This window comes from Homo sapiens, chromosome 16 (genome assembly GCF_000001405.40).
Source record: "Homo sapiens chromosome 16, GRCh38.p14 Primary Assembly".
NCBI lineage: Eukaryota > Metazoa > Chordata > Mammalia > Primates > Hominidae > Homo > Homo sapiens.
This window is the reverse complement of record NC_000016.10, coordinates 72,496,546-72,516,715: the sequence shown is the minus strand read 5'-3', so window position 1 is coordinate 72,516,715 and position 20,170 is coordinate 72,496,546. Positions and strand designations below refer to the sequence as shown.

The following is a 20,170-nucleotide window of genomic DNA, read 5'->3' as shown; positions in this document are numbered from 1 at the left end:
TGAGCCACCGCGCCCAGTGCCACCGTTTTCTACTGCATCAATACTGAAACAACAACTAATGATCCAAATAGACCATGCTCTTTTCTTTCTTCGTATTGTTTGCTCTACCAGAAATACCTGATTCTCAGGAGCTCCACTGTTCTAATCCATGTCTTATTTAGTTGACTAACTTTTGCTTATATTCCAAGATAAGTTGCACACCACCTCTACTAAAGAGCTTTCCCTGATACCTGCCAACATCTGTGGACCTTGCACTTCCTAATTTTCTGCATCAAATCTATTCCTGAAAGTATACTGAATAATAAGGTTTTGGATAGTAAAAGCCTTCATTGCATTATTTTAAATGGAAAGAAACAGATTAAACATTCTAATCAACAAACAAGGATTTCCAGAATGAATAAAAGAGCAAGATGCCACCATATGCTCTCACAAGAGACATACTTTGGATTCAAAGACACAAAAAGGTTCAAACTAATAGATAGGAAAACTTATACCACAGAAACAGTAATCAAAATAGAGCTGAAGTTGGTGTACTAATATGAGACTTTAAGGCAAAAATTGTTATTAGAGTCATAACAGGACAATTTAAAGTGTCAATCCATCTAGAAGATGTAAAAATATCAAACAAATATGTACTAACACCAGACCCAAGAACATAAAAAGCAACAACCAACAGAATCGAAGGGAGAAGTAGACAGTAAAATAATAATAGTTGGAGACTTCGTACCCCATTTCCAATAATAGCACAACTAGGAAGAAGATCAACAAGGAAGTGTCATACAATACCACCAACTAACATGAACTAACAGGATCTATAAAACACTCCTCATAGCAACAACAAAAGTATATATTCTTCTCAAGCATACATAGAATAGTCTCCATAATAGACCATCTATAGTCCATAAAATAAGCCTCAATAAATTTAAATGATTGAAATCATGCAAAGCATGTTTTCCTACCACATTGGAATTAAATTAGAAACAAGGGAAAGAAATTTGGGAAATCCAGAAATATATGAATAATTAACAATACACACATGACCAATGAATGAAAAATTTAACAAATGAAGTGAGAAAATACTTAGAGATTAATGAAAATAAAAATAAAACACAGCAAAAGGTATGAGATACAGTTAAAGCAGTACTTACATGAAATTATTGGTATAATGCCTATATTTAAAAAAAGTTGAAGTCAATAACAATCTTAAGAAGCAATAAAAAGAACAAACTAAACACAGTGAGGCAGAAGAAAATAATTAAAATTTGAACAAAAATAAATATAATACAAGATAGAAAAACAATAGAGAAAATCAATGAAACCAAAATTTGGTTCTTCGAAAAGATCAACAAAATGGACAAAACTTTAGCAGACCAATAAAAAAGAAGATTCAAATTATTAAAATCAGAAATGAAAGAGGAAACAACACTTAAACCGCATGTTCTCACTTATAAGTGGGAGCTGAATGATGAGAACACATGGACACAAGGAGGGGAACAAAACACACTGGGCCCTGTAGGGGGTGGAGCTGGAGGGAGGGAGAGCATCAAGGATAAATAGCTAATGCATGCGGGACTTAATACATAGATGATGAGTTGATAGGTGTGGCAAACCACCACGGCACACGTTTATCTATGTAACAAACCTACACGTCCTGCACATGTATTCCACAACATAAAATTAAAGAAATGAAATGAAAAGGATTGTAAGGTAACACTATAAACCACTGTACACCAACAAATTATACAACTTGAGATGGAAAATTCCTAGGAAGACAAAAACTACCAAAGCTGACTCAAGAAAAAATAAAAATTTGAATAGACCTGTATAAAAAGTAAAGAAATTTAATTAGTAATTTTTAAAATTCCCACAAGCCTAGGCCCAAATACCTTCATTGGTAAATTGTACCATTTGTTTAAAGAACATTAACACCAATCCTTTACAAATGCTTACAAAAATACCTGAGTAGGAAGTACTTCCCAACTTACTCTTGTCAAGTCAGTATTTCCCCGATTCCAAAACTAGACAAAGCAAACATGAAAAAACAATGCTGACCAATTTCTCTTGTAAATATAGATGCAAAAATCTTCAACCAAATACTAGCAAATCAAATCCAGCTATATTATAGTATATATATTCACTATAACCGAGTGGGATTTATCCTAGGAATGGAAGTTTGCTTTGACATCTGAAAATCAATCTATGTAACGCATCAAATTAATACAACAAAGGACAAGAATACATAATCATTTCAATAGATACAGAATAAGTTTTTGGCAAAATTCAACATTCTTTCATGATAAAAACATCCAGCCAACTAGGAGTAGAAAGACAATCTGCCAACCTGATAAAAAGCATCTTCAAAAACCACACAGCTAACATACTTCTTGGTGAAATACTAAATGCTTTTCAGAAAGGTCAGGTACAAGATGATGTCCACTCTCAGTACTTCTCTTTAACCTTGTACTAGAAGTTCTAGCCAGAGCATTTAAGTAAGAGAAAGGAATAAAAGGCATCCAGTTTGGGGAAAAAAATGTAAAACTCTTTCTGTTTGCATGATCTTGTATAAGCATACTTCATTTTACTGTGCTTCACAGATACTGCCTTTTTTTTTTTTTCTTTTTTAAACAAATGGATGGTTTGTGGCAACCCTGTGTGGATGAAGCCTATAGGCACAATTTTTCCAACAGCACGTCCTCATTTTGTCTCTCTGTGTCACATTTTGGTAATTCTTGCAATATTTCAAACTTTTTTATCATTATTATATCTGTTATGCTCATCTACGATCAGTGATCTTTGATGTTACTATTGTAATTGTTTTGAGGCACTACAAACTGTCTATGAAAGATGGTGAACTTAATGAATGTGATGTGTGTTTCTGACTGCTCCACTGACTGGCCATTTCCCTGTCTCTCCCTATCCTCAGGCCTCCCTATTCCCTAAGATACAACAGTATTCAAATTAGGTCAATTAATAACCTTGCATTGGCCTCTTAGTGTTCGATTGAAAGGAAGAGTTGCACATCTCTCACTTTAAATCAAAGCTAGAAATGATTAACCTTAATGAGGAAGGCATGTCAAAAGCCAAGATAGGCCAAAATCTAGGCCTCTTGTGCCAAACGATTATCCAAATTGTGAGTGCAAAGGAAAAATTCTTGAAGGAAATTAAAAGTGCTACGCCAGTGAACATACAAATGATAAGAAAGCAAAATAGGCTTATTGCCAATGTGGAGAAAGTGTTAGTGGTAGAAGATCAAACCAGTCACAACATTCCCTTAAGCCAAAGCTGGATCCAGATACAAGGCCTTACTTCTCTTCAGTTCTAGAAGGCCATGAAAGGCAAGGAAGCTGTAGGAAAAAAAAAAAAAAAATAGGCCGGGTACGGTGGCTCATGCCTGTAATCCCAGCACTTTGGGAGGCCGAGGCTGGCAGATCATGAGGTCAGGAGATGGAGACCATCCTGGCTAACATGCTGAAACCCCCGTCTCTACTAAAAATACAAAAAATTAGCCAGGCATGGTGGCACACACCTGTAATCCCGGCTACTTGGGAGGCTGAGGCAGGAGAATCACTTGAACTGGGAGGCAGAGGTTGCAGTGAACCAAGATTGCGCCATTGCACTCCAGCCTGGGCCACAGAGCAAGACTCCGTCTCAAAAATAAAAATAAATAAATAAATAAATAAAGCTAGCAGAGATTGGTTGATGAGGTTTAACAAAAGAAGCAGCCATCTCCGTAACATGAAAGTGCAAGGTGAGGCAGCAAGTACTGATGCAGAGGCCTGCAGCAAGTTATCCAGAATATCCAGCTAAGGTAACTAATGAATGTGGCTACATTAAACAACACATTTTCAATGTCGAGGAAATAGCCTTCTATTGGGAAAAGATGCCATCTAGGACTTTAATTGCTAGAGACAAGTCAATGTCTGGCTTCAAAGAATTAAGGGACAAGTTGACTCTTGTTAGGGGCTAATGCAGCTAGAGTCTTTAAGTGGAAGCCACTGCTCATCTACCATTCTGAAAATCTTAGGGCCCTTAAGAATTATGCTAATTTGGGGGGTTTGGTGGCTCATGCCTGTACTGCCAGCTACTTGAGAGGCTGAGGTCAGAGGATTGCTTGAGCCTGGGGATTTGAGGCTACCCTGGACAACATAGTGAGACCCCATCTCTAAAAATAATAATAAAAAAAAAATTATGTTAAATCAACTCTACCTGTGCTCTATAAATGAAACAACAAAGCCTGGGTGACAGCACAACTGTTTACAGCATGGTTACTAAATATTTTAAGCCCACTCTCAAGACCTACTGCTCAGAAGTGAAGAATCCTTTCAAAATATTCCTGCTCATTGATGATGCACCTCATCACCTAAGAGCTCGGAGGTGTACAAGGAGATTAATATTGTTTTCATGCCTGCTAACACAGGAACCATTCTGCAACCCATGGATCAAAGGGTCATTTTGACTTTCAAGTCTTGTTATTTCAGAATAGATAGCCATTCCTTTGATGGATCTGGGCAAGGTAAATTGAAAACCTTCTGGAAAGGAACCAGCATTCTAGATGCCTTTGAGAACATTTGTGATTCATGGAAGGAGGTCAAAATATCAGTATTAACAGAAGTTTGGAAGAAGTTGATTCCAACCCTCTAGGAAGACTTTGACGGGTTCAAGACTTAATAGAGGAAGTAACTACAAATCTGATGAAAATAGCAAGGGAGCTAGAATTAGAAGTAGAGCCTGAAGATGTGACTGAGTTGCTGCAATCTCATGGTAAAACTTTAATGGATGAGGAGTTGTTTTGTTTTGTTTTGTTTTGTTTTTTCTTTTTTTGAGACAGAGTCTTGCTCTGTCACCCAGCTGAAGTGTAGTGACACGATCTCGGCTTACTGCAACCTCTGCCTCCAGGTTCAAGTGATTCTCCTGCCTCAGCTGTAGCTTGGATTACAGGTGCCTGCCACCACGGCCAGCTAATTTTTGTATTTTTAGTAGAGATGTGTTTTCACTATGTTGGCCAGAAGGGTCTCGAAGTCCTGACCTCAAATGATCTGCCCACCAAATATTTAAAGAATATATTAACACATATGATAAAATATTTTATTCAGAAAAAATGAAAATAACCCAAAGGTCCATCAGCTGAAGAATGGAAAAGTAAAATGCCGTATATTCATACAATAAACATTCTTTGACCATAAAAAAGAATGAAGTAACATTATATACTACAATATGGATTAATTTTGAAAGCATTATGCTTAGTGAAAGAAGCCAGTCACAAAGGCCACATATCATATGATTCCACTTATAAAAAATGTCCAGAATAGACAAAACAATAAATATTTTGAGTCATTGAGGTTTTTCCTTCTGTGGCTCATATTGTCCCCATCAGGCCTATCGTCAAGTCCTGTATATTTCTTCTAATTGAGAAACTCTTCCTTTTCCCCCAGTTTATATTTTTCTCTAACGACATGTGCTAGTAATTATTTGAATTTTATTTAAATCATTTAGGTATTAACTCACTTTATAACATATACTCAAACATATGTATGAGTGAGTAAGTATGATTAGTTCTTTTCTATCATTAACAGATATAAAATCAGGCTGGCAAATACTTGGCTGACATTTCATCATTCCTTTTCCCTAATCAATCCACTACTCTGCTTGTAAGCTCAGATGGCCTAGGAACATTTCTTGACACAGTCCTGAGCAGTCACTTATAGTCATTCAGAGTTGGGCCAGGAGATGAGACCTGTTTGTTGTCCCTAATAGGGAAGCAGGTAATGGTGTGATTAAATATACCAAAACGTTTCACTGTCTTTATCTTGTTATATTTTTGGGGGGAAAGGTGAGTAAAGGGTAATCTATGTTTGTTACAATTATAAAAAATGTGGTCTTAAATTTTCTGAAAAGGTAGACTTTTATATAATGATAATAATTGTGAATGATTGGACTTCTATAATACTTTCTTTCAACCTGAAAAATCTTTTTTTTTTTTTGAATGTTTCCAAAATTTAAGTCATCATTACCAAAAGATGGAAAGAGTCTGTTAACTTCCATGGCTTAGGGGCTAAATGGTACCTTCTCCCTTCTTTTGTAATAATGTTTTTCTTAAAGCATTCAGCTCTTTTCAATAAGAGATGATTTTGTGTTAATTATTCTACTTGTTTCATTTGTATCTTTGGTAAGTGGAATAGTGGCAAACAGAATTGCTTCTTTTGAATAGCAATGAAAGGTCAGAAGTGAAGACTTCCTATTTATTTAGCTGTCATATGCTTTACTCATATAAAGGAAAACTGGAAGGATTTTCTTTTAGTGCAGTGCAGTGTGAAAGTTCATAAGGTTAGAAATAATTTTCATCCTGACTTAAAACTCATAGGTAATTTAAAAAAAAGATTTAATTACAGTTGTCATTTCTGTGATTTCTACTGAGAAAACAGTGGGGAGACTACCCCACTGAATGTTCTCCCTCATTCCTGAATAATTACTATATTCTTGAAATGGTGACCTTGTCAGGTGACACTTTAGTGGGAAGGTCAGAGAGCATCTGATTTTTAAAATGCTTGAATTCATCCGTACTAATTGCACCTTAAAAAAATTTAGCATTTTGACTAAATGAATCCTTTGACTTTTAGTGGTACTCTAATGCTGGCTTAGGTCAATAATATTTGCCTTTGGTTTATTGATTGCAAAACAGAAAAACCATTCTGAGAAGCTTTGCTGTTTGGGGAAAGTTTAAATTTGTTGGATCGTGCCGTTTTTGTGTGTGTTAAAATATATTTTAAACAAACTGAAAAAAGAGTAATATAAGCAATACTCTTAGGCCTGTTACACTGGTTAATAAATTGCCATTTTGTCATGCTTGCTACAGAATTTTTAATAATAATAATGGTACATTATAGATATAAATCATGTTTTAACAAATCTGCTTATGTTTCTTCTCAGAAGTAAGCTGTACCTTGAAGATAGTGGTTTTATTCCTAAGAAATCTTATTATTATATGTTTATGTATCCAAAAATGGTGTATATTGTTGTATAACAAGTTTTTGAGCTATAAATGGCATCACATTGTGTATGTCATTTGCAGTTTGCTTTTTTCTCAACATTCTATTTTCGAAATTCATTTTCATTGATACATTTTATGGTATTTCATTTTAAAAATATGTACCAGTTTATCATTCTTTATTTTCTTTATTTGAGATAGAGCATCACCTTGCTCTGTTACCCAGGCTGGAGTGCAATGGCACAATTTCGGCTCACTACAACCTCTGCCTCCTGGGCTCACATAATTCTCCCACCTCAGCCTCCCTAGTAGCTGGGACTACAACCATACGCCACCACGCATGGCTAATTTTTGTATTTTTTGTAGAGATGGAATTTTGCCATGTTGTCCAGGCTGGTCTCGGACTCCTGCAGTCAATCGATCTACCCACATCTGCCTCCCAAAGTGTTGGGATTACAGACATGAGCCACCGCGCCCAACTTATCCATTCACTTCTTAATTAACATTTGGGTAGTTTCCATTTTTTCAACTATTATAAACAATGTTATAATGAATATTTTTTTGCCTTCTTGTGCTTGTATGTAAGATTTTTGCCCCATTGTGTACCTAAGAATGAATTTGCTGGGTATACGTGTATTATAAACTATATTAGATGTTGGCAAATTGTTCTTCTAAGTGGTTATAGCAATTTACATCTGCATCCCCAACCATTTTAAAAACACTTTCTGAGATATAATTTACATGTCATAAATATGCATCACTGGTATATCGTGTACAACTCAGTGGGTTTTAGTATATTTATAGTTATACGAATGTTACAAAAATCTAATTTCAGAACATTTTCATTTCGTCATCCCCAAAATAAACATTGTACCTATTGGTAGTCACTTCTCATTACTCCCCCTTCCATTTGCTCATGCCCTCCAGCCCTGTGTCATCACTAATCTACTTGTTGTCTCTATAGATTAGCCTATTCTGAACATTTGCATATATGATACTATACAATATACAATCTGTGGTCTTTTGTAATTGGCTGCTTTCACTTACCATAATGTTTTTGAGGTTCATAGATGTAGCATGTATCAGTATTTCATTCCTTTCTCTTTTTTTTCTTTTGTCAAATCATATTACCCTGTTTTATTTCTCTGTTCATCATTTGATGGACATTTGAATTGTTTCCACTTTTTTTATGATTGTGAATAATGCTGTTGTGAACATTCATGTATAAATTTTTGTGTGGATAATATGTTTTCTTTTCTCTTGAGTATATTCCTAGGAGTGGAATTGTTGGTCTTAGTCATAACGATGGCTCTATGTTTAACATTTTGAGGAATTGCCAGAAGTGGCTGCATCATCTTACAATCCCACAAGTAATGTCTGAGGGTTCCAATTTCTCCAGATCCTCCCAAATACTTGTTATTTATTGTCTTTTTTATTACATATCCTAGTGGGTATGAAGTGGTATCTCATTGTGGTTTTGATTTGCATCTCCTTAATGACTAATCACTAATGAGCATCTTTTACATGCTTATTGGCATTTCTATATCTTTTTTGGAAAAATTTCTATTCAAATCCTCTGCCTATTTTTAAAATTGGGGTTTTAGTATTTTATTGAGTTATATGTATCTTTCGTATATTTTGAATGCAAGTTTCTTATCAGATATATGATTTGCAAATACTTTTTTCCTGTCAGTTATCTTTTCACTTTCTTGATAGTGTCCTTTGAAGAACAAAAGTTTTTTTCAAATTTTTGACGAAGTTCAGTTTTATCAAATTTTTTTATTGCTTGTGCTATTGGTATCATATATAAGAAATCACTGCCTAAGTCAAGGTCAAGAATATTTACTCCTTTTTTTTTTCTATGCGTTTTATAATTTTACCTCCTCCATTTAGGTATTTGATCCATTTTGACTTAATTTTGTATAGGGTGTGAGGTAGGGGACAACTTCGTTCTTTTGCATGTGGATATCCCTTTACCACAGCATGATTTGTTGAAAAGGTTTTCTTTCCCCCATCAAATTATCTTGCCAACCTTATTGAAAATCAATTGACCAGAAATATAAGGGTTATTTCTGATATCTTAATTCTGTCTCATTGATCTATATCTCTATGTCAATACCATACAATCTTGATTACTATAGCTTTGTAGGCTGTTTTGAAATTGGGAAATATAAATTCTACGCTTTATTGGCTGAGTGCGGTGGCTCACGCCTCTAATCCCAGCACTTTGGGAGGCCGAGGCAGGCAGATCACGAGATCAAGAGATCGAGACCATCCTGGCCGACATCGTAAAACCCTGTCTCTACTAAAAATATAAAAATTTGCTGGGCGTGGTGGCAGGCACCTGTAGTCCCAGCTGCTTGGGAGACTGAGGAAGGAGAATCACTTGAACCTGGGAGGCAGAGGTTGCAGTGAGCCAAGATCGCGTGACTGCACTCCAGCCTGGCAACAGAGCAAGATTCTGTCTCAAACAAACAAACAAAAAAAGATTCTACACTTTATTCATCTTCCTCAAGATTATTCTGGCTATTCTGGGTCCTCTGTATTTCCATATGAATTTTAGGATTAGCTTGTCAGTTTCTGCCAAAAGACATCTGATATTTTGATAGAATTCCTAATGAATCTGTAGTTCACAATTTGGGGAGTGTGGACATTTAATACTATTAAGTCTTTCAGTCCATCGGAAGACCACTGGATGTCTTTCCATTTATTTAGATCCTTGAAAATTTTTAAATTTCTTTCAATTATGTTTTATAGATTTTAGTATACATGTCTGTCCTGTTATTATATTTATTCCTAAGTATTTTATTCTTGTTGATGCTATTGTAAATGCAATTGTTCACTAAGTTTTATTTTCAAATTGTAGTCTATACATTGGTAGCATATAGAGATACAATTGATTTTTATATTTTAGTCTTATGTTCTTCAACTTTGCTAAGCTCGTTTAATAGATCTAATAGCTTTTTTGGTTTATTCCTTAGGGTTTTGAATGTACAAGATGCAGTCCAGAGCTTATTCATGCTCTTGAGTTTTTAATTTCGGTGACTGTATTTTCATTTCTAGTTTTTTTCCACATATACCGTTGTTATTTCATATCTGACTCATTTTATAGCTTATTGCCTTTTGCCTGAAATATTTTATATTTATTTTATTTATGCCTTCAAATATTCCAAACATACTTCGCTGAAAGTCATGGAAGTCGTTGTTAGGCTTTTTCAATGAAACTAATGCTATGTGGAGTGAATTCATTTTCTTTTTCTCTAATTTTTTTTTTTTTTTTAGACAAGGTCTCACTCTGTTGCCCCAGCTGGAGTGCAGATCTCGGCTCTCGGCTCACAGCAACTTCAGCCTCCTGGGTTGAAGCTATCTTCCCACCTCAGCCTCATGATTAGCTGGGACTATAGGCTCATGCCACCTCACCCAGCCTATTTTTAAATTTCTTTTTGTAGAGATGGAATCTAGCCATGTTACCCAGCCTGGTCTTGAACTTCTGAGTTCAAGTGATCCTCCTGCCTCAGCTTCCCAAGGTACTGAGATTACAGGTGTGAACTACCACACCTGGCCAGAGCGAATTCATTTTCTGAGTGTTGATTTGTTGATTTTGTTTGATACCTTTGTTAGAATTTGATTTCTGTTAATTTTGGTTTTCCGTCCTATTTGAGTAGGAGGTTTTATGAGTGTTTTGCTCTTTTTGTCCTTGTTCATTCCGTCCTGTGATGATCTTTCAATTACCTACAACAGACTCCCCAAGGCTTCTGTCCAGACATATGCCTTATAATGACAGTTCAGCTCAGAGTGATACAGATTCAGCCACTGAGCTTTCCAGTGAGGGGAAGCCACACACCAGCCTCCAATATCAAGCTATTCCCTATTTCTCCAAAACCTATTTAGTCCCCCTTACCATACTGGAGCCGAATCCTGGCTACCACTGTTTCCCTCCAGAGTCTAGCACACAGTAGCCTCAGCCCTGCACACTGTTTTGCAATTCTGTCTTCATACTGGTCCATAGAAGTACGTATCGTGTTTGTGAGCCTATTTATGTATTTTGTTTTTGGTTATCCATTTTTATATTTTATCTCCCGTGTTTTCTGTTTTGAGCAGAGGGCATGTGTCAAATTTTATATCAAATAATGAAGTCATTATATCTTCATTATTGAAAACCCAAAAATATTTATTCTGTTTTGTTTTGTTTTTTATAGAGATGGGGTCTTGCCATGTTGCCTAGGCTGGTCTTGAACTCCTGGCCTCAAGCCATCTACCCACTTGGTGCCCCAAAGTGCTGAGATTACAGATGTGAGCCACTGCACCCAGCAATATTTATTCTTTAGGTTAATTTTAAATTGTCAACAGGGTGAAACTTGTACTTGTTCTTCCATATTGAATGTTATTTCGTTATTATAAAACAAGTCATATAAAATGAATATTTTCATTCTCTGAGAGGTCCCCCTCCCCCGGGAAAATTCTTTCCATAGTAACTAGCATGTGAATATTTATTTGCTGTATGATAAGCAGTGTGCTGAGCATTTTACCTATATTATCTTATTCAGTCACAATAACCCTTCAAAGTTGATATTATTGTTTTTTAATAGAAGAATAAATTGAATTTTAGACTGTTCAAGAACTTGTCAGTAGTCAACAGAACCAATATTCAAATTCGAGTCTGTCTGATTTGAACGCCTGTGCTTTAAATCATTTTTTAATGCTTTTCTATTTTAATTGTTGTGACGTTTGCATTATATTCTCTTCTTCCTTTTGGCAAATTTGTGCAATTTTAATGATGCTTTGGTATAGAAAAATAAGAAACCCGAGACAGGAACAGACTGGATGATTTTAACGTTGTCAGAGCTTCAGCTATTGTATACGATACTGTAAGATTTCAGCTTTCAGAGTATGTTTGAGGAATATTCCCTGAACTAGGGGGATCTTTCTTGATAAATTATTAATTTTACTATTGTTAAAGTTTTGGAGGTGGTGATGAGAGACTTCTTTTCCCTATCTTTTCATTTTTATTCCTTTTTTTTTTTTTTTTTTTTTTTTTGAGACAGAGTCTCGCTCTGTTGCCCAGGGTGGAGTGCAGTGGCGTGACCTTGGCTCACCGCAACCTCTGCCTCCCGGGTTTAAGCAATTCTCCTGCCTCAGTCTCCCGAGTAGCTGGGACCACAGGCACGTGCCACCACGCCTGGCTAATTTTTGTATTTTTAGTAGAGATGGGGTTTCACCTTGTTGGTCAGGCTGGTCTTGAACTCCTGACCCCGTGATCCGCCCGCCTCCGCCTCCCAAAGTGCTGGAATTACAGACGTGAGCCACCGCGCCTGGCCCTCATTTTTATTACTTTTATAAGCTGACTTACATAGAGGTATACTTATGAGTATGTGGCTTTGGGGACTTTTAAAAATAGGATTAGTTATTATAATCTTACATTCTAAAGGGAAGAATCATTTTTTTGATGTTAACAGTTCACACTCTCCATATATTATCATATGTGATGACACTCGAAAAAGAGACGTCCTAATTACAGAAGGGTAAGAGAAAGGGAGAGAGTTGGCATTAATGAATTGAGTGGTGTCTGGAAGTTTTTAGCAGGTTTCCTATATTAGGCATCTATAGATGAAGAATTAAACTTAAGTCTCATGCCCTGGCAGCATTTATTAACTAACTGAAATCTGCAAGTATTTCTTTTATGGAGAATGATAGGCAACCTATACTGGACAATTGAACTTAAAGAATAATGATTGGGTAATTATAGTGTTGAAAAGGATTTGAAGTTATAAGAAATCGGGAATTAATATAATAAGTATCAGAATCAAGAGACTAATAAGAAGGATGTATATATGCCAAAGCTCAACTAGACTGGTTATTAGAGTTTTAGGTGCTAGTTTGGAGTGGAGTATTGGAGGGACATGATTTTTGTTAGATTTTTAGTGATGAAATAAGTAGGGGAGAATAGAGTAGTTCTAAATGGGCTGGAACTATCTGTTGAAATGAATCTCCTCTGTGCCTTTCTTCTAATTGTAGGAGATGGTTTATTGGAAATCTCAAGTTTGAGCTACTCAGACTCTGTATCCCATCCCTCTAGGGCCAGCTCAGCCCTTCATTCTGTCAAAGCAGATAAAACAGAACAGCTTGCAATTTGCTATAAAGGGGTCCTTGGGATGAAGCATTTTAATGTCCATAAAGAGTAGACAAGACCTTCATTTTTAAAGACTCCCATGGAACATTTCAAACGGCATGAATTTGTCTTGGTGCCCTTTGCCAAAACTAATAGATTTAGGCTGTGGAGTTGTCGGAAAGCTGAGCATTCAGGCCTACTTATCATCCAATAACATTTTACTATATTTTTCTTATTTTAGCCCACATGCCCTAAAACTGACAACATATTGAGTAAATAATACTTACATAAGAAACACTACTAATCTTTAGGCCTATGTCAGTTAAACATAGAAGGAATGCAGAATTACAATAATATTATTTAAAAATAAAAAATCAGGTACAAAGATCTAATTGATTTAACTTGACTTTTTTTTTTTTTTTTTTTAGTTTGTTTACTTGTTTTTAATTTTGCCTCTGTTTATCATTCTGAGGGTGAGCTGCGTTTCTGGTTCAGATAGCTATTCCAATCAAGAGCCCTGAAGAAGAAATGGCACAGAGGGACTGAAGTGTAGTAAAATACAAAGTATGTTATTTTGAATTCTTCTCATGCTCTGAGAACAGGAATATCTTAAGCTTTGATAGAATGGTGCAATTTTATATTTTCCATTTGACTACTTTAAAAGGTTCATTGTCTTTTAATTAAACTACAGGGGGGAAGAGCAGAGATTAAAAGATATAGTACTATAAAGGGGATGGCTTTTAGCTACATGAGTGAAGACACCACAATAAAGCAAGATGGAGTGCAGCAACAAGTTTTGTGCCTTGAAGCCTCCTCTTGTCTGACTGTGGCGGTAATTTGGAGTTAATTTGTGCAGCTTCTCAATAAAAGACTTTGTGTTTTCTATTCTTTGATTCTTCATAGCATCTCTTCCCAGCTGTTCTTTTATCTTTCCTTTTATGTGGCCCAGTGCAGCTTATCCAACTAGATGTGATAAGGAGGCAAACCATTTTAGGTAAGAAGCTTGGACCAGGCTCAGTACATGAATATTTTCTATTTATCACCTGCTTTTTATTTTCTACAAAATGACTACCTCAAGTAACACCTTCCATGAATCTCCTACTTTCTACTCTCACTGACAAGTAGAGGCCCACTTTTCTCCTGTAGTAATTTTGTAGTTTTAGCATGGGGTGAATGTTTGTGATTCTGTATTTGGCACTATATTACAACTAGTAGTTGTCTTATATTCCTTTGTCTGCATGAAGATTTTTTTTTTCTTTGTGTCTGTTTTTCTCCCCTTGCTTTCTACTCCCCCACATGTCCCCAAGTCCTTCAAGCCAATGAGGCTGTGGTGACACCTTCTGGGCAGTGCTGGGAGTGAATTACAGTCATAAGTTCCATGGTGGTGTTAACATACCAAAGATTGGGTGTACAATACTAAATTTGATTTGCTTCATTAGAAGAATTGATATTTCATTCTACATGTGCTCAGAGTGTCTAGAACTTGTGAAATATCAATGTTATTTCTTAGTAATAAGCAGTGATTTGTAGTTAGTTACATAAAAAGCCAATGGGCCTGTATGCTTAATCAACGTAGGAGTATGGTGCTTGGTTGGGCCTGAAAATAAGTTAACAGAGCAAATATTAATGTTTTCATGTTATTAGATTATCAACACTGTACTTCTGCTTTTTTTTCATGACACAGCAGTATTAGGTTATATGCCAGTGTTTTGTAGCAGTGGGAAAAATGTCCCATAAACAATCTCTGTAGAAGCAATGTCATCCACCTCATCCATCCACTGTCGGAGAGTACAGGATGAAGGTTTCTCCAGGGCTGTTCTTATCTATTCATGTCTCGTGTTAGCTTTAACAGATGTGTAAGGAGTCTTCTATGTGGCCTTTGTTGGAAACTTGCCTTTTTCTGAACAAACTTCATTCCCTCCACCTCTACTTCAAAGCGGATGTAACTCTTTCTTGTATTAAAAGATTTTAAATGATAACTTCTTCACACAGATAGCATGAAACAGTAAATATGCATTTACTATTACCAATTTACTTATTTTTTGTTGACCTCTGCTCGGACCCTAATTATGATAAAAGCTGTAGTTTCTAATGAAATCACTAGATAGTTTTAGCAAAGTTGCCATTACTATATCTCCAAGAAATTGGCTAATATTAAAATACTTATAAAATACCAAACTTTATAAGTTTGGTATTAAATAATTTTAGGGCTCTCAAGAATCTTTTCTCCAAATGTAGAGGCACCAAGCAACAAAGGCGTGACTGGCTGTCAACGTGGCTATAAAACTTCCCAGCTCTATAACATCACCTTAGGGCAATGTCAAATGGAAAAGCACAAGACATTCAACTTAAGGGTGAGGATGACCAATACAGTTGGATATGCAGACTTTAAAATGGCACCACATTCCTTATCTTTGCCTTTTGCATCATCCTTTGGTCAAATATTGCGTAGCCAATGTGTAATACATACATTTATGTTTGGTACAGAACCCAATATTTCTACTATTACTATATAATAAAATAAAAGCAAGAGCACATTGCTTTGTAATTTTGATTTGCAAACAGATGGTAGATAGCTGGAAAATAGACTAGAGCTATAAAAAATTGGGGAAAATGCTTTCATGAAATTAAAAGAAAACTGACTTAAAATACTAAGGGTGTGAATGGGTAACAAAATATCATGTAGTAAATGTGAAGATGATGGTTTTATTTGAAGTGGGGGGAGGGAGGAAAAAAGCTAGAAGGAGGCAAAAACACAATTTGGCCTAAAATTGAATTTCTCTGATAAGGCATTTCAGAAGCGGCTTGTCTTATTCACTCAGCAGCAAAATAATCATATGCGCTTTAATAATCTTTATTTTACAGGAGTGCGTTGCCAGGGTAACGGAATGTAAGCAGGGGAACAGCACCTTGCAGATCACAAAGGCAAATCTCTGGAAAGAAATTTCACTGAGTTTCTCTTTTCCTTACCAGTGTAATAACAACTCGTATTTTCCCTGCACTATTTAATAGTCTCACATAAACATTCTTTCCCATTTCCCTTTTCTGTATCTGTTTAAACATGGACAATAGCATAAATCTGAAACTGTCAAGCTCAGTGAGCTAAGCAAAAAAGCAGATGTTATACCTTTAGCATTTTTATATAATTACTTTTTATTGCTATTTTACCCCATCTCCATTCCTCCTGACCTCATTGTTATTTCCTTCTCTCTGTAAACCAATCTGATGATAGTATTCCAAGTAAAGGGGGTTTGAAGTAGGAGTTGGTATTTGGCTATATTAATCAAAAATTATTAGCTAAGCTTGCCTGTATGGAGATTCTAAAGAGGCAAAGATTGCAACTGAAACATCTGTTTTTGGAAGAGGGTAAATTGAATTATGTAAAATGGAGTGACAAGCATTCAGGCCAAAAGCTGCAAAAATAATTATTTCTTTATACTTGTGCACATACACAAATAAGTATACACACACAAGACAGGAGTGAAGAAGGAAAAGAAGCAAATTTAGGTTATTTTAGCTTTCCGCTGGGCACTGGAACCTCAGTTAGTTCTGGGAAATTGTCTGATTTGAAATTAACAAAATGAAAGTTGCCAATACCTTTCCAAAAGAGGTAATAACAACTGGCAATAAGAATGTGCTTACTGATCATTTGATTGGATCAAATTTATAACTAATCTATGGTTTATAAATATTTGCCTGTCATTGTCTTTGCCAAAGGCCATAGCCTGTGAAAGAGAATGCAGAAAGAAAGTAATATTAGACTATAGAACTGGCAAGAAAAAAAAAAGCCTTCATAAAATTAGATATGAAAATCTATATTCACATGATGTTTAAAGGTTTGACTTCTGCCAAGAATTTTACATTAATGCTACGTCTTAGTTTTAACATGTTCACTGTGTACCCAAGTATAGTTCATATAGTTCTTTCTCTAAGTCTATGGGACAATCAGTAACCACAAGCAAGTGCTCACAGATCAGTTTCTGGATAGATTGCATTCTAAATTATATTATTCTCAATTTTGATGAAATGTAATAAAGTGTTTTAATTAGTTATTAAATTTTTCTAGAAATTATTCTTTTTTTGTAATATAAACCCTGCCCTAATACTTAAAATTCAAGCCAATTAAAGCTACCTTAAAAACAGATAATGGTAAAAGAGCAAGTAAAATTTGAAAGGGCCAAGAAAAAGACTTGTTAAAATGGCAAATTGTAAGGAAAATGTTCCATAGTGATATAACTAATGTATTTCTGATGTTCACAAAAATGGAAAAGGGTCATACTGAAATATTAATAGTAAGATTTCTGATGTTCCAGAAGCATTTCAAACCCAAGTGCTATGGAAGTCAAAGCTTGATTCTCATCAAGCACTATTGAAAGTTCTGGAGAAAAATTTTTAAACCCACTAGAATCCATTTAACATCATTTCTCCATGTTATAAAACTGTTGACTTAAAATCAGCTCCCAATTTTCATTCTGCATAGAATCAATTTGACACTTTCCTGGAGCCAATATCTTCTTGGATATAAAATCTCTGTTTGATGTCTATGAGGTTAACTATTTCTTAAGAGCTTATAATAAGATAATGTTGCCGAAAGGACAGACAATTCCCTCTCCCTGGGCTCTTGTTTACCTCTGGATTCTATATAGAAATTCCTCTATGGAAATAAGGTTAGTAGTTTTGGGTGCAGAATAGTATGAATGTTTTCTTAGCATTTGAGCATTCATCCCTGGTACCTGAAAATCATCAATAATTTTACATTTTTATTGTTAATGAAGATAGCATATGGATGGCAAATGAAAACATGTTGGTAAGTAAGTACTGTTCATTTAGTGATCTTCAGCAATAAAAATTTTCTAATTATTTGCTAGCATTTGCTCTTCTTTATTTGGTAAAATAAAATAAAACAATTCTTTCCCCTAACCTCTTGAGTATGGTGCAAGTTTGCAACCATGTGTAACAGAATTTTAAAATGGGACTCTCCTTGTTTGTTTTAGCTATGGCCCTAAGACAGAAGATTTCAAGGTGAGATATGAAGACACCCTCCAGTTCTTACATGAGCAGAAGGGAAAAAAAACAGTTATGTGATTCTTAAGCTACTTAATCATGTCAAGGATATAAAAGGATTGGGAGTTTCGAAATTGAGGAAAGGAGGATGTTTGGAGAGAATTGTTAGTGTGCTAAGTGTCCCATCACACCTCCAAGGGGAAGGAAAGGAAGGTCTCCTTTTATCTGAATCCAAGAGAGGAAGGCTTTAAGAGATGTAGAACTTAGTTAAGTGACCCCTGCCATTTAAGACCAGCTAGCTGACACATGCCTAAGAAATCTAAAGAGCCATGAGATTGATTGGCCAGCTGCTTTGAAGGTGGAGTGACAGGTGACTGTTAGGCAAATGTTGCTTAAGTGTATGCCATGGATCAGAGGTAGGGCATATCCACAAAAAAGATGATACAAGGTTGTCTTAACTCCATAGACTGCCTGGAGGGTTCCAGTGATCCCAAAAGTCAACTGAACTGCCATCTTCTCAGGAGCAGTAAGCTGAGAAAGAGCCTCAATTAAATCAAAGGATCTGCAAGTGAGATTCTAACCACCCTCTCTCATGGCAGGTGCCTATAACAGGACTTCAACTTTTTTAATACTAGGCTAGACTAAACATATTAATTGCTGAGTATTTTGATTGCCTATAAATGAATAAAAACATGAAATCTGCCCTGAATTTTATGCACAGACATGGGAAGCCCTATAGAATAAATTAAAAGAGATACTGAAAGTCAACAACAAAGTTATTTATTACATACCAACAGTTTTTTAAATTCAAATTATTTTTTAATACATAAATGCATGAAAATGTGATCTTGAAAGAAGGGTTGTGTGTTAGGAAATAACATTACACATTTCTTTTGACCCCTATTATCTGTATCTCTGTAGTCAGTATTTCTACCCCTTCTACTTTACCATTCATACTTCAGTGAGAAGGTACTAAAGTCAGGCAAAAAAAGTATTGTAATCAGGAAGATTTTTTTTTTTTTATACCAACACAGTCATGAAATATGATTTTTATTTTTATTTTTTTTATTTATTTATTTTTTTTTTAATTTTTTTTTTTTATTGATCATTCTTGGGTGTTTCTCGCAGAGGGGGATTTGGCAGGGTCATAGGACAATAGTGGAGGGAAGGTCAGCAGATAAACAAGTGAACAAAGGTCTCTGGTTTTCCTAGGCAGAGGACCCTGCGGCCTTCCGCAGTGTTTGTGTCCCTGGGTACTTAAGATTAGGGAGTGGTGATGACTCTTAACGAGCATGCTGCCTTCAAGCATCTGTTTAACAAAGCACATCTTGCACCTCCCTTAATCCATTTAACCCTGAGTGGACACAGCACATGTTTCAGAGAGCACAGGGTTGGGGATAAGGTCACAGATCAACAGGATCCCAAGGCAGAAGAATTTTTCTTAGTACAGAACAAAATGAAAAGTCTCCCATGTCTACTTCTATCCACACAGACCCGGCAACCATCCGATTTCTCAATTTTTTCCCCACCCTTCCCGCCTTTCTATTCCACAAAACCGCCATTGTCATCATGGCCCATCCCCAATGAGCCGCTGGGCACGCCTCCCAGACGGGGTCGTGGCCGGGCAGAGGGGCTCCTCACTTCCCAGTAGGGGCGGCCCGGCAGAAGCGCCCCTCACCTCCCAGATGGGGCGGCTGGCCGGGCGGGGGGCTGACCCCCCCACCATCCTCCCGGACGGGGCGGCTGGCCAGGCAGAGGGGCTCCTCACTTCCCAGTAGGGGCGGCCGGGCAGAGGCGCCCCTCACCTAATCAGGAAGATTTTTGTTAGATTGTTTTATCTATGTGAATTTATCTCTTTTTCCAAAAGCCTTTCTACAGCTTTTCTTGATTTAATATTTTGCCACTTTCTTTTTTTGTCCAGAGCTCAAGTGGGTGGGGGGGGTATGAAAATCAAGGGGCCTTGATTAATCTACAAACAGGATCACACATTAGTAGATATCTGCGAGTTAACGGTAGTTATTTTTAAAAGGATATAATCAGTTTCTTAATATAGTATAATGGATTAAATAATA

General features: G+C 36.1%; 2 long non-coding RNA genes across 4 annotated transcripts in view, besides 1 other annotated feature; one reads left to right on the top strand and one right to left on the bottom strand.

Moving 5' to 3' along the window:
* The window catches only part of LINC01572 (long intergenic non-protein coding RNA 1572), a 384,069-nt gene that overhangs the window by 148,255 nt on the left and 215,644 nt on the right, over positions 1 to 20,170 (top strand). The gene's annotated exons all lie outside the window — the stretch shown is intronic.
* Positions 1 to 20,170, bottom strand: part of LOC124903718 (uncharacterized) — a 109,513-nt gene that overhangs the window by 18,743 nt on the left and 70,600 nt on the right. The window lies entirely within an intron of this gene.
* Positions 14,354 to 14,423: an enhancer, noted in NCBI's record as "active region_11096". NCBI's record gives its function as "activates an Ori minimal core promoter by ATAC-STARR-seq in GM12878 lymphoblastoid cells {active_cell/tissue: GM12878}" and the evidence as "EXISTENCE:reporter gene assay evidence [ECO:0000049][PMID:35858748]".